We start from the raw sequence: 16644 nt of genomic DNA on the forward strand, positions 1-16644 counted from the left end.
GCAGAGCAGTAATGTGGTTGTGGGGTGGGGAGGTGAGGTAGGATGGAGGGGGCTCTTGGGAAGGGTCAGGGCACGCGGACATTCTGCGCTCACAGAACACAGTAGCAAACACAGGGCACAATTCACAAACATCAGCGAGCACAATCGAGCACGCACACAATACAACACTAGAATGCAATTTTTTAATAAAAATGATATAAAAGATGGTTTCTCACCCCTCAAAACAAAACTGGAACTTTGGTTTACAGGCCCGGCTATGCCCATATGCCCTCCTCGTCATCCTGCGGCCGGCCCGAGGTGGGGAGGTGCACAGAGAGGAGGGGAGCACCAGAATGAAAGAAGAGAAGGTTAGTTACACCGAGATGCACTGGAAAGGCACACTAATCTTCACTTTGTTTTTTAATCTTCAAGACTGAAGAAAAAAATCCATAGTAACTTAAATTCCACATCACCGACTTGTCAAATACATAACCGGGTTTTGTATCTATGGCAACCCACACACAAAAACATTCCACCCACCCAGCTCTGAGTCTGTGTCAAAATCGGATTAGAAGATTAAAATTAGTCTACATTAGCAGATGATTATTTTTTTGGAAAGCATGCAATCTGAATTGCATATGCCTAAGGAGTAGATTAAACCTTTTAAGTAAGCAGAGAAGTAATTATAGTAATCAAATACCCTTAATTTCTCTTAAGCTTAAAGTATCAATAAAGGCTGAAGAATTAAAAACACACACACACACGCACACACACACACACACAACTCCATCTACTGGGGTGGAACAAACTTTTTCAGCATGCGATAATTCATATTGGTTATTCCACAAAGGCTCAAACATGCTGCGATCTTCTTAGTTGACAGATTCTATTTTGCTCTCAGCATGAAAGAGGATGCACTGGCGATGGTATGATTATACAGTTGCATGGAATGATTATACATTTGCAATCAAATAAGTTTCAAAGAAAAGAGAGGTAAACTTTCAATTCAGTAGAATGCTTGTAGAAAGAAAGTTTTGCTTAACTTAAAATTGTGTTCAATTATGGATAAACTGAAACTTCTTTGGTTGGAATTCTTGTTGAAAAGTGTTTCGAAAATAGCTCTGGTGACTTTCCTCACTTAGTGAAGTGGCTAATATAGAGGGAAATGGAATCTTTGAAGACAGAAGTATATCCCCAAAGCAAAGTCCCTTTTTTGAACAATTCTCACAGTTTACTGCAAGGATTGAAACATACCCTGGTGTCACACATAGTTTGAGAGCTGTGCCTTTTAATAGGTCTCCAGTGAAGTCAGATTTTTCCATAATTTGCTTCTTGTTTTGAAAATCAGGAATAGAAGAAAAAAAATAACCTGGAACATTTTCTCATTATTTGACTCCTTATTGGTTAAGTTGTTACACTCTTAGGTTGAATCCTATGAAAATGCCAATATTTGGCCATTTTTACCTAGAAAAATAGCAGTTTCATACAGTTCCACCTAATCCGGCCAATAGGCCTAGTCATTTTTATCTACTCAAAGATTTATTTTTCAACTGACTTTCAATACAGTTTATTTCCTTTGTATTTCTATGTATTTTATTTTATGCATTGAAAAAAGTATTCTGAGAAGAGATCCAGAGAGTTCATCATACTGCCAAAGGGATCCACGGCCCACGAAGGTTACAAATCCCTGACTGACTTGAGTCAATGGAATGATTTGCACAGAGTCTGAACTGGACAACTCAGTATGAATTTTCACTTGACAGCTTAGGTAGGAATATTCTGGCAAACAATAAAACACATTGATCATTTTAGCTGGGCCTTCTTATGTAAAAATTATCTGTGTTTATTTATTATTAAACAGTCTAATAATTGCTCTTGCCAAGAAACTTCCCTTTTCCCTATGTGACTTAGGAAAAATGTATTTTTACATTCATTTAACTTCCTCTCTGTCCCTGGAGAAAAGAAACTTTGATGCTCCTTTTCATCTTCATGAAGGAGGGAAGTTTACACCATGAGACCCTAGGCCATTCATAAATGGGTTTCAAGGGGCCTAGCAACCCCTTGAAATTCAATGAAGAATGTTGTTGAGTATGTGTGCAAATATATGTCTCTGGATGGAGGCCCTAGCTTTCATCATATGATTCTTGACCCCCAGAATCGCTGCTGTAGAAAAACTCCAAGCATAGAAGGATGCTATGATTTGCCAAAGTCACAAAGCAAAATAGGAGGCTTTCTCTAAAACACAGCCTACGGCCACTGCCGACTTCTTCCTAAATAGCTATAAAATAACTTGCAGAGCAGTTTATTTCATTTCACATTTAAAACCCAACATATATACATTCATTTTGTTCCAAATCCATTCCTATCAGGTTTTAATTTTTAAAAGAGAAGAAAGTAAGCAAAAAGAAAAGCCACTGCCACCAAAACCTACTACTATTTTCTTAACAGTGGAATGTGGTCTAATGCAAATCACTTTTAGCAAATTAAATATATTAAAAAGTGGTAATTAATTATGATTGAAACAGACAGGAGTTGTAGTTTGAAAGTACACGCTGCCAATATCACTACTACTGTTCCTCGTCCACCATAGGAATAAAAAGGGGCTCCCAGATGTCGAGGGTTATTAAAAACCAGATGTTCAGATCGACATCTTGTATGCTAGTGAATAAAGTAAAGAAATATGACAGTCCAATGTAAACTTTGCTAACATTTAATGTGGCAGAAATGTGGATAAATTCCTTTCATGAACTCAGAATATTATGCATTTTTAAAAGTTTTTAGTTTTTTAAAGTTTAAAGTTTTTAAAAGAAAATAGAGAAGTGGTGGCTCTTTCTGGTCTCTCTAACCTTCAAAGCTTAAACATGAATTGACCCTCATCGCCAAATGATCTGGGTCAGAGTGAGTGTCCGTTTGGGGAATAAAAAACAAAAATGCAGGAGCTAATCAGTGCGGGAGCTCCAAGTCTTTCCAAACATATGCAGCTGTTTCACTGCTGCGCTGCCTGCATCTCTGTATGCAAATATTAATTTGTTCAGCAACCTTACTGCACAGAAATGTAAATTTGGGGACCCAAAAATAAGAAACAGACAAGTATCACTTGATCCTTAACTTCATGCTAAGTTGTTGAGAAATACTTGGCATTTTAAAATGCATCTATCAGGCCTGGGAGAGTCTGTTTCCTTTCCTTGTTTTTCTGTTTCCAAATCTACTTTGCAGTGGCTGTTCTGAATGCTGCTCGGTGTTTGATCCCTTGTGTGTCCTTTGTGAGTGATTGTTCTGCCACCAGTTGCCAAAATATCTGGATGGGAAGAAAGACTCTAGTCCATCAGTCATCTGCATGCTTTTGTTCATCTGGGGATGGGAACATCCAAGGTGGACCGAAGCCCAGAGAGCACAGTGACCACAAAACCCAGCAAATTCTGAAGGGGAGGAGGTTTAACTATCAAATAACCTCAGGACACATCTACAGTTCCAGGGATGACGTGACAGACAAGGGGGTCTTGATGGAAATCCTGTAGTCCCAGATGCTGCGCCCTAATGGGATTCTGTAAATATTGAGATAAAACAAAATTCCTCACCGATGGGCTGCTCACAGCGGCTATGTTGATGACAAGCTCTAAAGGCAAAGGGACTGAGTCATCGTTGACAAGACAAGAGACTTGTTGTTGTGGGGGGGCATTTATTAGCTCCAGCAAAGAGGCTCTGAGAAGAAACTCTATAATCTGACATGATAAATGAATGGCCCAGTGTAAACCTTTAATTGGTCTCTATTTTGAAGTATTAGGTATAGCCAGCAGGCAAACCTGAGGCCACCACCGGATTTTTTTTTTTTTTAAAACACCTGAAATTCTCTTTGAGTTGATAGCTGGCTTTTTTTCTTGAAATCAAAGAATTAAGTTCCTAATGGGGATCTTACTGTCACTCCTGTCCTAGAAAGGAAAGCAAGTAGAACCAGCGAAGTATCACTTTCAAATAGCCTACTGCCTTTGTGGGAACTCAGCCACGGTCTCTGCCTGGAAGGTCCACCTGGCTACCTTGCTGGAAGGGGTGCAAGGAGATGATCCTGGTTATAACTAGGTCTGGTGTGGGCAGTCTTCAGACTCGCCTCCACCCCTAATTCATTCATGGCTTCTCTAAAGCTTCTGAAACTTCAAGCCCCAGGACTTTGCAACGTTTGGCTGCACAAGTCATGAAAGCAAGATCACAGTGTGGAATTTATGATGTGCCCTGAGCCTGGGCTCAACCAAAGCAGATGCTGTTAGCATTTCCAACTGCAGGCTTGGCCAGAGCCGGGAAAAACAGACACATCTGTAAAGGAAAACAATAGGCTTAGGCATGAGCCTGCAAATGTGGGGCACCGAGCCTCATCAGGGTACTAGTAGGTTTTCTGCTAAGGTCAAGTCCAAACCTTCCCTCTGGAGACCATTCATTCTGTCTTTTATTTCTCCTGCTTCCTGGAATGCTTAGTCCATGGATGAATGTCTCTGTTCAGGTGATGGGGTCAGGTATGGCTATAAACTCTTACATGACTTGTATTTATTATAATCTCTGGGGCCCATTTGCAGGTAAGATCCCCCGCCAAAACAGGAAAGTCCTAGCCAGGTTCAGAAATCTGCTTCCTGCTCTTTTAAAAATAAGCGTTAGCTTATTTCTGAGCTGGGATAGAAAAGAGCCAGTATGTATTTGCACCTCCTCCAGGTTAGAAAGAGTGCTGACGGCTTCTGTGTTTCCTCCCTGAGGCTCACCAAGGCCCAGTGACACAGGTGTCAGGAGGTTCTTTGTGCAGATATGGAAAGGAAGGCTCAGGGAGGGAGGTCAGGTAGCTCACCAAAGGACACCTGGCCAGCAGCTGGGGAGCCAGGGTCAAATTCCAGCCTGTCTAACCACAAAAGTACACCCTTCTGACTCCACCATATGAGCCGAGAAGCCACAAAAAGAAGAGTTCACTTTGACCCCAGAAGACATTTGTTGGTTCTGCTTAGCTCAGCTCTAGAGTACGTTGAACTTGGTCCTGCCTTCTTTCCAAGCTGTTGAAGACCATGGTTGGAACTAGAAGCTACAATTTAGTTGGGTCCCTCTGGCTCTTGGAAGAAAGGGGTCTTCATATGCAAGTGGAAGCTATTTACGTGGACATATCAGCAGCACCCCAACACATTTTAAGATCTCTGAGGGGAAAGGCAGCACCTTCACCTCCTTCATACTGTGCCATGATTCTCAGATGTGGGAACTTAGATATTTCTAAATGAGTAATTATGGAAGGCTCAGTTCTCACTGTTTTGAATGACTGGATTCCTCTGAAGGAATATGCTTCCTGGATTCCCAGAGTTCCTTACGATTGCCAAGATTGTGTTGACTTGTGTCTTCTCAGAATGACTCTTCCCCTCTTCTATCGCACGAGCCACATCTCTGGTTTATTCTTCTACACCCCAGTGGTGAAAGCGAAACTTCATTGGCTGAGGGGGATCACAGTAGGAGATGTCCATATTTTAAAAGACACACTGGGGTGTCTCTCAAGGGAGAGGCAGGTACTGGAGAATCTGTGCAGCCTGGATTGGTTCTTCTCAGCAAGTTCACCTCACTAGGACACGCTGAGGCAGGGCAGCCACCTGAGACCACTTTGTCAAGCCATCAAGAACGTTATAGAAGTTTGGGTGGCCTTTTCCTCCACTTCTAATATAACATCTTTAAGTGCTTCCTCAATTTTTTTTTTTTGCATCGTCATTATAGGGCAAATTGAAGAAACTAGTTTTCTATTTCCTTCAAGCAAAATAGCTGTGACAAACTAGTCTTTGGTGCACTGTGCCAGTTCATTCAGCTCAAGGACATCAGATACCCAGCTGAAGATGAGAATGGTCGAAGCCTCTATGTCGGCCAACAATATTGTTTGGGAGCTTAAAATCAACATCTGCTAAAAGCGGAACCATTGCCAGATAACCATAAAAAAGGGTGGGAGTGAAGACAGGCTTTATTTTCGCTCCTTCATCGATCAGTCATTAACACTTGGCTTTGTTAAACAAAGTGAAAATTGTGTTTTTAACATGACTCTGGTTCTGCCATTTCCTTCATGGTAGGCAATCAAATTTCCTTTTGACTCTTCATTTCCTCAGCTGCTTAAAAAAGAAAATGAGGGGAGGCTGAGGCAGGAGAATCGCTTGAACCTGGGAGATGGAGGTTGCGGTGAGCCGAGATCGCGCCATTGCACTCACTCCAGCCTGGGCAACAAGAGCGAGACTCCGTCTCAAAAAAAAAAAAGAAAAAAAAAAGAAAAGAAAAGAAAATGGGACTACCATATCCTGGCCCTGATGCTTCATAGGTTTGCTGTGCAAATTAAACCCAAGAATGTAAATTAAACCACTTTGTGGATGTTACAGACTTAGACCAATATAACTAGACATATCATCCCTGTTGGTAGCATTAAGAGTTGATTACTAGTAAAACAAATTATTTGATATTACACTAAAGCTGAAGGCAAAATGGTGTGTCTAAAAAGGATCTGATGGGGTACAAAATGATTCTTAAATATTTTAGAGTCTCTGGGCTGTTCAAAATTGACATTATTAAGATCATTAATAGATGGATGCCCAAATCCGAATTTTTAAAATGCTATTGGTCTGTAAGGTGGTTTCCTGCAATAACAGACTTTGTGAGTGTGTGCAGGGTATGTTTAAAGGATGCTTCCTACTCCCTTTCCTCTGCTGGTCCCTTATCTTTGGAGTGCTGCAAGTGCCTGGAGTGTTGTAAGTCAAACATGATCCCTATTACATCAGTTATAGAAAAAAAGAGAGGCAATGGTGTTTAGCAATATAAAATGGATTTCCCTGCTTCCCGACATTTCAAGGTTGGCCACCCCCTCTCAATGGGGGAGCTAAAGTGCTGCCTCTTAGACAAATGCGACTGGATTAAAGCAGCAAGTTGAAAAGAAATCAACCCTCCAATGTTGCCAAGATGCGTTGCATCTGTAAGCTGGAGAGTGCAGGCTATGTCTGAAAAACCCCTGTTGACTCAAAGGATACTGCAACAAATCTCTTAATGTAACCCTAATACTGCAAACAAGGTGTAAAACCTAGACAAATCAGTAAAAGAAAAAAAAAACACTCTACCCCAAATAGCATAAGACTGAATGAAATCTTCAGTAGGCTCAAACCTCCTTTAAGGAAAAATCCTTTTCTAACAGGAGGATCCTGATGCATTAAGCAGCTCTGCATTTTTCCCATACTCAGTGAAGACCCTACCTGGCAGGGCTTATTAATCATGCCCTCATGTGCTCACATGCAGGGAATTAGCATCGCACCCAGATTAAAGGGCTTTGACAATAACCTGCTCATCTGCAAAGCCAGCTTCCCAACTGCTGCGTAACTCCGCCTCCCTCCCTCTCCTGTAGCTCTTAATGGTTGGGTGAGCATGTAACTGCTGGTAGAGGAAGGAGGCAGTTAAATACCTCCCACAACAACAGTTCAGACATTTGTCCCCATTTCCTTCTTTACCTGTGGCCTCACAGAGAGCCACTGCAGGGTTACTCTACAGCTTCTGCTCTTAAAAACAAGCAAACAAATAAACTGCCCCTTTTATTTCCCAAGGGTGGGAAATCACATATGCCGTCTGGCTCACTTTCTAGTAGTTTTGGGGATTTTTAGTAGTCTCTGAGGGATAAAGAAAAAAGAGACATCTGCGATATCTTTCTATTTCTTAACCTGCTAAACACAGTATCCTCCAATCTACTTGTGAGAAAAGAAGTATTGGGAAAGAGGCAAGTGGCTCTCAAGAGCTATTTCAAAATGCATGCCAGGATATCCTTGGCTACAGTTCTGAAAGGACTGGCCCAGGAGTGGCAACGGTCAAAACTTCTGAACCCTTCTCCCATGCAATACACATCAGCACCAATAAGAGGTTTCTTCATGGGTTGTTGAATCTGAAGGCTTCATCCCCACGTGAAACAAAACTCAAGGCTCCTTCCAAGAAGTGGGCCATGACATTAGATTTGCAATGCAAAAAAAAAAAAAAAAAAAAAAAAAAAAAATATATATATATATATATATATATATATACTGTCTCTTATCTGGGCAAGCTTTAGACATACTAGCTTGGTTGGAAACTGATATTAAAAGCCTAAAACATGTAACTTTTCTTATCAGGTTACTATCATGGGGAACTAAAGATTCCTGGTTTTTTGTATGTTCCATAACTATACTTTAGTAAGCCCTGATATACGGTGTTAATTTTTCTTCAGTGAAGGAAACATGAAGATATATTTATGTGCACACATACATATATATGTATATATAACGTATATTCAAACATGCACTCAGAGGAAGTTAGGGAGAGAAGTTTCTAGCTAAACATGATCTTGTGAAATTCTTCCATATGTGGAAAAGTCGTCAGTTCATCTGACATAGAGCAATACATACATATATACACACAGGATGCTATGTATACATTTATCCCACATTCATTTAACCTCAAAACATAAAATAAATTCTTTTTATTCCTCCCTAAGCAAAAGCTAGGAATAACAACTCTATATACAGAATTCATCTTCTGGGGGCAACAGAGCAGGTTGGACCCCTTGCCTGTCTGTCAGAGTTCAAAGGGCTGCACATTGACTAATCTGTTGGTGAAAGTGCAAGGGAAGCAGAGCATCAATCAGAAAAGCTGGCCCTGCATTCACAGAGAGGGGCTCAGTGGGAGTACGGGATCCCACGGCCTCAAGCTGGTGCCCCAGGAGGGGCTGCTGTGACTGCTTCATTCTTCTGTTGGACTGTGAGGCCCCACCAACTTCTTGTGGACTAAGCATAAAATGCAGAAGGAGGACAAAAGCAGGTGGGTTTTATGAAAAAAGAACTAGGGCCAGGAAACACATGGGCCTGGAGCTGTCACCTGCCTCCAGCCACAACATCGATGAGGACATAATTGCAGGGATGGCTGGAAATTCCCCTCTTTAAGGAATGCTCTTATAGGATGCTGACTAATTCTACCTGAGAGCAGTACCCAAGGCTCAGGTGTATGCAGAATGGACAGAGGTAGGAGGTGAGAGAGCAAAAGCCCTGCTTTTCTTTTCTGAGCCAACTCTACCTTATGGCTCTTTTGCCTGTAGAAAGAGGGGAGAAGGGACATATTTAGGGACCAGAAATCTCAAAACCAAGGCAGTGAGTGCTGCAGCCTCTCTGAAGCAGAGTATAGGTTCAGTACTGTAAGCATCTGCCTATATGCAAGAATCCAGAATCCAAACACAGAAAGGAAAAGCAGATTCCTATCAACCATTATAAATTAGGTCACTGGGATCATTTTACTGTATCTTAAAATACAATCTGTGTATCAGTTCTGTGACCAGAGTTTGAAGAGAAGGCCAAATCTAGGCATGGGTTCTTTAGTAACCAAGAAATTTGATGGCTTATGGCAAAACAACATGTGTCCCAAGTAGAATTCTATGGGAATTTTCAGCAGAAAATGGAAGTGAACATTCAATGCTCTGAAATATGTCCAATGGTACAAACACGCACTTTGGCTGAGAGCCAACACATGCTGGGACCACACAGTCATCAGGAGCAGCAGAGAAAGCACCAAGGATTACTATTTATATCCACAGACAGATTCTGGAAATTACCAAGTAGAGTGGATAATATTTAGGATTAGGGCAATCAATTTCCTAGGACAAGATCCATAGAATGGACAGACACCTTAAAGTTCAGAATGCAATAGGGAAAACCTAGCTTCTACCACAGAAAAGTCACTCTCTGAAAGTACCCCTAGCACCCTGGCTGATCTGACAGCAGCCCTTAGCAGAATAAAGCATCCTCTGTTTTGCTCTGGGGGCATGGTTTGCTCCAGATCCTTACATGTTCAGAGGCTCAGGGGAGAGTGAGCAAGGGAATGTGAGTCTTGGCAATCCACTGCCAAGAACCCTCTGTGACCCAGAGCAGTTCCCCTCCCTCCCCGGGCCAGTCTCTCCACTACTTGAGGATCTCATTCTGGTGATTCCATAGAAGCAGGAGAGTTTGCAATTGGCACAGGGACAGCAGGAATAGAGAAGAGTAAAAGGGAACAGGTAAAATGGGGGGAAATGGAAGGAATAAACTCACAAAACAGAAGAATGGAAATAAAGACAATGAAAGCTGGGGCAAATGGAAAGAGAATGGATGAGACTACATATTTTTTCTTCTTTTTTTTTTTTGAGACGAAGTTTCACTCTTGTTGCCCAGGCTGGAGTGCAATGGCGCGATCTCAGCTCACTGCCACCTCCACCTCCCAGGTTCAAGTGATTCTCCTGCCTCAGCCTCCCAAATAGCTGGGATTACAGGCACTCACCACCACACCCGGCTAATTTTTGTATTTTTAGTAGAGATGGGGTTTCAGCACATTGGCCAGGCTCGTCTCGAACTCCTGACATCAGGTGATCTGACTGCCTCAGCCTCCCAATGTGTTGGGATTACAGGTGTGAGTCACTGCGCCCGGCAAAGATGACATTTAATTCAATTTTGGAAAATAAACAAAATAGGATAAAATTTACTACAATTCCATGGGAAAGGGAAAAAGCACATTTGCACTCAAGAATAAGTGGATCCATCATAGTTGTGCAATCATAAATACACGTGGTTGCATAGATGTATCCAAGGGGTTTGCCACCAATGTATAGTACTCAGAGACTCAGGATTTCATCTGGGGCCTGTTGACTTTCAGTTTTGTGACTCTGGATCATTAACAACCTCTGAGTTTCTTTATTTATGCAATGGGGATACTTCCATCTGCCCTTCCTACTTCCCGAAGCTACTATGGGAGCAGTTCATTCAACAGACATTTACAGAGTACCTCGTAAGGGCCAGACATGTGTGAACATGGGACAAAGAATCTGAATATAAAATGTGAAATTCAACCAAATTTTTCTGTAACTGATCACATAAGTATCATGTCTCCATGCTCCTAAACTCATAGCCCTCATTTAGAAGTTGGTTTTCTGTAAGTAAAATGTGAAATTTAAAATTTAAATACTATCAGAAAGTCTCAAAGGTGGTCAAAATCCCTCGAGCTCTCCAACACCTATGAGCGAGTATTTGCATTCAATGAAGGAGGAAGAGGAGAGAAGAGTTTTCTCTTGGGCTTTCAAAAGTGGCCACCTATTCTGAGGTTTCCAGCCCCAAAATATTTAGGTTCTTTGCCATTTAGGCCCTTCCCAACTAGAATCAGAGCGGCAAGTGCTTTAACACATAGAAGTACATTTTGCACAAACAAGCAGTGAGATCAGGGTCCTTGAAGACCTAACACCCAACCCAAGACCCGGGAAGAGAAATGTGAGTCCTAGATGCACAAAGGGTAGCCTGCATGGTGCCTGGCATTTTAAGTTGGCTGGGGTGTGGACCTCATGCTGATGCTGTGCTTTTCTTATTCACCAGGTTAGTCTATACCTGGGAGCCAATGGAATGAGCTTAATAAAATATGACTTTTACTGGGACAGTAAAACTTGTATGATGCCTAGAAAAAGGAAAGTAGAAAGACTTGGTATCACTGATATGTTTTAAGGCAGAGAAGGAGATGCTATTTAAAGAAAATGACAGATGAGACTGATGACAACAGATACAGAGAACATTTAGGAAAAGCTGAATTTCTACTTGGCTTTGTGAAATCAATCTTGGTAACCTAAGAAAAATCTCTAATGTGTCTCCAGCATGTTTCATTTACTCTTTGGACTTTATTGTTTCTCAAAACACACCAGCAGCTTGTGTCATGGGAAATATTTGTTGTCTGCCCCCATGGCCACTTCTTGCTTTGAAGGATTTCCCAAGTCATTACTGGGATTTGTCTAGATATTCTACTTGGACATATTCAATGGCTGTGACCATCCTGGGGGTCACAGCCCACCAGCTATTAAAAGCTTCTCTCTCAGGTAGGGGGCTAGATTCTTGAGCTGCCACACTGCACTGACTTCTCTTACATCTTCTCCAAATCTTCCCACCCCCTCAGTAATCCCTCAAGGGCTGTGTATTTATGACTATTCTTGATATCCTGGGTCCTCAACCTTAATGACTCCCTTAGTTTAGATCTACTGGGTTATTGGTGGGATCACTCTTTCTCAGATATTATTGCCTTTAAGAAGGTATCCCAGGAAATGAATGGAAGAGGCACTTCCATTTTCGGTTGTGCAAAGCAAGAAGCTGCCGGAAAATCCCACCTTCTGATAAAAAATACTGCTGGAAACTGGATCAGTCATGTTATAAAATGGGTAGTCTCTTTTTTCACCTGATACTCTGAGAACAATATTTCTTACAGCACAGATGTTACTTGAAAGAAAAAAGAAATCTACAATCAAATAAGTCTGGGAAATACTGGATTAAATTAAATTGGGGAGCTTTCTTTCTTATATGACTTTTTAGATCCTTTGATCTACTAATTGCCCCAGGACGCTCGAAGATAGAGTTGTAATATGGAGCACTTTCACAAAATACTTTGCCCAGAGAATCTTTGTTTCAAGGCTTTCCTCATGGGACTAATGTTCTAAAAGTTACTTTGGGAAATGCTAGTCTAGACTTATAATACTTGGATTCAGTTTCTCTTAAGGAGCAAGAAAAATCATAGTGAAGGAGAAAGAAACATGGAAGAAATGGAAAAAGAATATAATTCTGTAAGTACCTGGCAATACTCACGTAATTGAATTACCTAAGGTAAAACGAGTTTTTCTGGAAAAGTAACAAGGCAAATGATTTTTCATATTTCTCCATTTTCATGTGTTCTGATCTCTTAATAAAGTTCAAGAGGCAATATCAACATTTTGTAGCCCTTCTTCCATAAGTCATTGTTGGTCAAGCCTTTAAGGCCACAGGAAGGCCAGGGCTGGAAGATTCACAGAAAGGGAATCAGGAATCCCTGAAAGAGACCTTTCCCCTTTAAGTCAGGTCAGCTAACATTATGTACATTATGAACATTTAGTTAAAATCTCATCCACATCACCCCATTATTAGGACTCTCATGCTTTCATATGGCTGTCATTTTTCTCCTAAGAAGAAACATATACTCATATGTACCCTGTATCTATTAGTGTATGTGGTCTACACAATTAAGTGTAGGGTTTGTAATCAATTGGGAAAGATAACTATTGATAACTATTATCCATTGATAACGACTTTATTCTGGGACTTAGATTTATAACAGTACATATACTGATATATTAGTTATTGGTTACCAAATCTCAAATCTCCAGTATAGGACAAGGTATCATTCCACTAGACCTGGGATGCCCAGTCAAAAGGGGCATCCAGCTCAGGAGATATAGCCATCTCCAGCACTGGTGCCAACCTACTCTCACACTAGGGTTCCTTGCTTAATCTCTCCTTCTCTAATTAAAAAAGTCTAGCAAAGGAGCCTTACTGACTTGATGACTTCAATTTAAAACCACAAAAATATCCTTGTGGTCAAGGGTATTTTACTTTCACAGTGACCCCCACTGCAGAATAAGTTTCTAAGGTATGGGCCCCTAATTAAGTTGGAGCTACCTTTTATCTGCCTTGTTCTGATTGACATGAACCAGAAAAGAATTGAACAAGACATCAGACAACCTGGATTCTTATTCTAGGGCTAGACAGCAAATGCCTTGAAGACAGGGGTTCTGTCCATCATGCTCTTCCCCAAGTGCCACATAGTGGCTGCCATGGAATTAGGTTAGGAACTCGGAACAGGATTCCAGCCTATTCACCCACTTCCCGGGCTCCAGATTTCTCATCTGGAGAAGGCGATGAGGTTAACTGCCTCTATGTCCATGGGTTGCTTAGAGTGTTCACTGAGATGGTGGATGTGAAAGTGAAAGACCATCACCATCTTCCTAACAGTAGCAGTGAGAAACATGTGCCAAAGGTCTCAACAACGTGGCTTAGCCAGACACTCTTCAAGGAATGCTAACTCTTCTGGGAAGGACACCACCCTATGACAAACTCTAGTGTCAGTGGACAAACATAAGAGTCAGTCAAGTGGACAAGACACCCTAGTTTGTGATTACACCTCTCTGGAAAAGTAGCAGGAGCCTAGCTTTTGTAAGAAATACCATTCACAAAGCAGATAGATGTGCTCTAGTGCCTCATTCCCAGTAGAACATATGAGCATATGTGTCTCTGTGATGAGACAAGCTGGTTTGTTATCTCAGCAGGTCCCTGGATGACCTACTCCCCTGACTTGGCTCCAAATCCTTCTTTCTACTCTTATGGTACTCTCTGTTTTTGTCTCTCTGTTGGGGTTTGAGTGGGGGAACTCAGGATGGTCTTCTAGCATGTGTGGCTCAGAATGAATGGCCAAAGTGGGGACTGCAGGCTCCCACCAATAAAACCTCATACTCACCCTATCTGGGAGAATGCCAAGGAGAAAAAGGCAGGGACCAGGAATGAGAACGAGTTGGTTTAGTTAGCAGGATGCCAGGTCTACTGGAGCAGGCAGAGGTGGGGAGGTGGTAGTGGTGGTGGTGGTGATGGTGAAGGGTGGTAATTGAATAAATAAAACCAAAACACAGACATACAAGATAATGACATGAAATTGACACCTCTCTCCACATTTCAGATCTCCAAATCAAGAGCAATATTTTGGGAGCTAAAACATGAAATCATGCCCTGTCTGTACTTGGCTTCGGAAATCTAGATTTTTTTCTGTGTGAACACCTTCAGCAATGTTGGGGTCTCGGAGGGCAAAAGCTTCCAGGTACAAAGGTCAGGTCAAGCTCAGGGGCTGGGGAGCCTCCTGGTGCTGGCTGCCTCACTGCACAGCTCCCAGGAGAACTTCTAATGCTGTGTTCTATATAAACAGCTCCCCCAGGACTTGTACTCCAGGTAAAACATCTTGGAAACTTCAAATCTTAACCTCTTTGGGATGCTAGCAACAGGAGGTGAAAAGGAAACAGAGCCACGTGAAAAGTTTTCGGAGCATCACAAGTACCTCCTCCCCCAGCAAACAATTAAACTGCCTCTTCACACAGGTAATTCTGACAACCCCTCACCCTGCCATATCCAAAGGAGTGCATACTTATCCAGATGGTTCTATTTTGTTACCTATTGCTCCCATCTATGGAAATGTATCAGTTACACTAGGATCACCAAAAACGGGGGCAGGGGGAGGCAGGAATCTTAGTACAACAAAGTAAGAAATATTGCTCATATTGACTATATTATCCTGCTAGTTTGCATTTAATTTCCTAATTTCCATAAAATTCACCTTCAAGAGTTTTAATACTAAACATTGTAAATAGTTTTTGCATTTGGTGGGTGAATGTAAATATTGCTGTAAAACCACAGGCGGTTTTTGTTTTTGTCAATCCATCTTTTCACATGCGTTACTTAGTCAAGGGAGGAGATAGGGTCCAAATCAAATAAACCAGACTCCTTGACTTCACTGGCTAAAACGCAGGCAAAACGGATTTCTCTCCTTGTTGTTTTACCTCACCATTAATTTGCATCACTAAAGAATTTTCTAGGAAAGTGCTCAGCGAACTCAAGGCTTCTCTGGTTGCCAAGCTCATGGAAACAAAGTGCTTTCTCTTAAAACTCTGAAAGAGACATTCCAAAGTAACCCGCCATGAGATACCGAGCCAGCAATAGACTACATATCTATGAAAGAAGAAAGGAGGGGAGGAAAGAAAATGCATAACATAAACAAGAAAAGACAAAACCTTAAAGAGGAAGGAGAAAGAAAAACATTTAGATTCCTTGACTGATGGAAATAAATACCAAAGCTATTAGTTTCAGTTCAAAGAACGTATCACTTTATGATGTTTATTATTTCTTGAGGATTATTTATTTTATCTTAAAATATCTAAAGGGTAAAAGGGGTCTTGGAGGTAAGCAGCGATGAAACTGACCTGGTCCGGAGAGGGCCTGTGATTGGAATGTTGCGACCTCCCAGGAGATCGATGGTGGTGGTGATGGTGGTGGTGGTGGTAATGGTGATGGTCATCATCATAGTTGTCTGCCATCAACTTCATTCTGTTCTGGGTCTGTGCAGAACAAAAACCAAGGAAGATTCCATCAGGAGCCAGAAGATCAGTCAAAGAGATTCAGGGCATAATTACAGTACCTATAGGGATCCCTTTGTTCCTAATTCAGGAATTTTCACTGTTAGTCAAGTTGAAACTTAATAAAGAAAGCACCATGACATTAACTTTGGTGAAAAAAGCTCTGTCACATCCTTAAAGCTATTATGTTACATCTGTAAATGTTAATGTACTTCCTTCTTGTGATTTAAAAGGGAAAAAATGGACATACTCTAAGGTGCTTTGCTTTACATTATCAAGCAATCACAGAGATCCAAGGTGAGCTTGCAATTGCAACAATTATGACTGAGACTCTAGACCAACACTCTAGAGCAAGCTGGAGATGGAAGTCCTGTATGGAAAGATGGGAAGGGCTGGGTAGAAACACAGAACTACAGATAAACAATGGTCTCACAAGACAAGGCAGAAAAATCCACTTGAACGCTGCCAAATGCAAAAATACTGATGGAGATGGTTTACTGCTATGATGACTTCTTGGGAAATGGCTCTCTACGGACATTTTAACCGATTTTGTTCCTTAAGGGAACTGAGCAAAAGGTACAAAGTCAATGGGAAAAGAACTGACCACTCTAATTTACAATCCACGATGCCTGTCACATGAGGCAACTTGGAGTCATGGTTAAACCCCCAATGCAATAGAAGTGTACTGCTTT

The 16644-nt window shown here is 41.5% G+C and overlaps 1 protein-coding gene across 20 annotated transcripts in view; it reads right to left on the minus strand.

The window, feature by feature from the left end:
- Nucleotides 1-16644, minus strand: part of ERC2 (ELKS/RAB6-interacting/CAST family member 2) — a 960157-nt gene that overhangs the window by 175268 nt on the left and 768245 nt on the right. For 15 of the 20 annotated variants that reach the window (XM_017006156.2, XM_047447950.1, XM_017006148.2 and 12 more), the window contains one exon: nt 15800-15934. In XM_017006156.2, the coding sequence (XP_016861645.1) occupies nt 15800-15934 (135 nt within the window). Of the gene's footprint in view, nt 1-215; nt 282-15799; nt 15935-16644 lie in introns of all 20 variants that reach the window. The other 5 variants (NR_132749.2, XM_047447952.1, NM_015576.3 and 2 more) reach the window with 1 other exon arrangement.

The sequence above is a fragment of the Homo sapiens genome, chromosome 3 (genome assembly GCF_000001405.40).
Source record: "Homo sapiens chromosome 3, GRCh38.p14 Primary Assembly".
NCBI classification, from domain to species: Eukaryota; Metazoa; Chordata; class Mammalia; order Primates; family Hominidae; genus Homo; species Homo sapiens.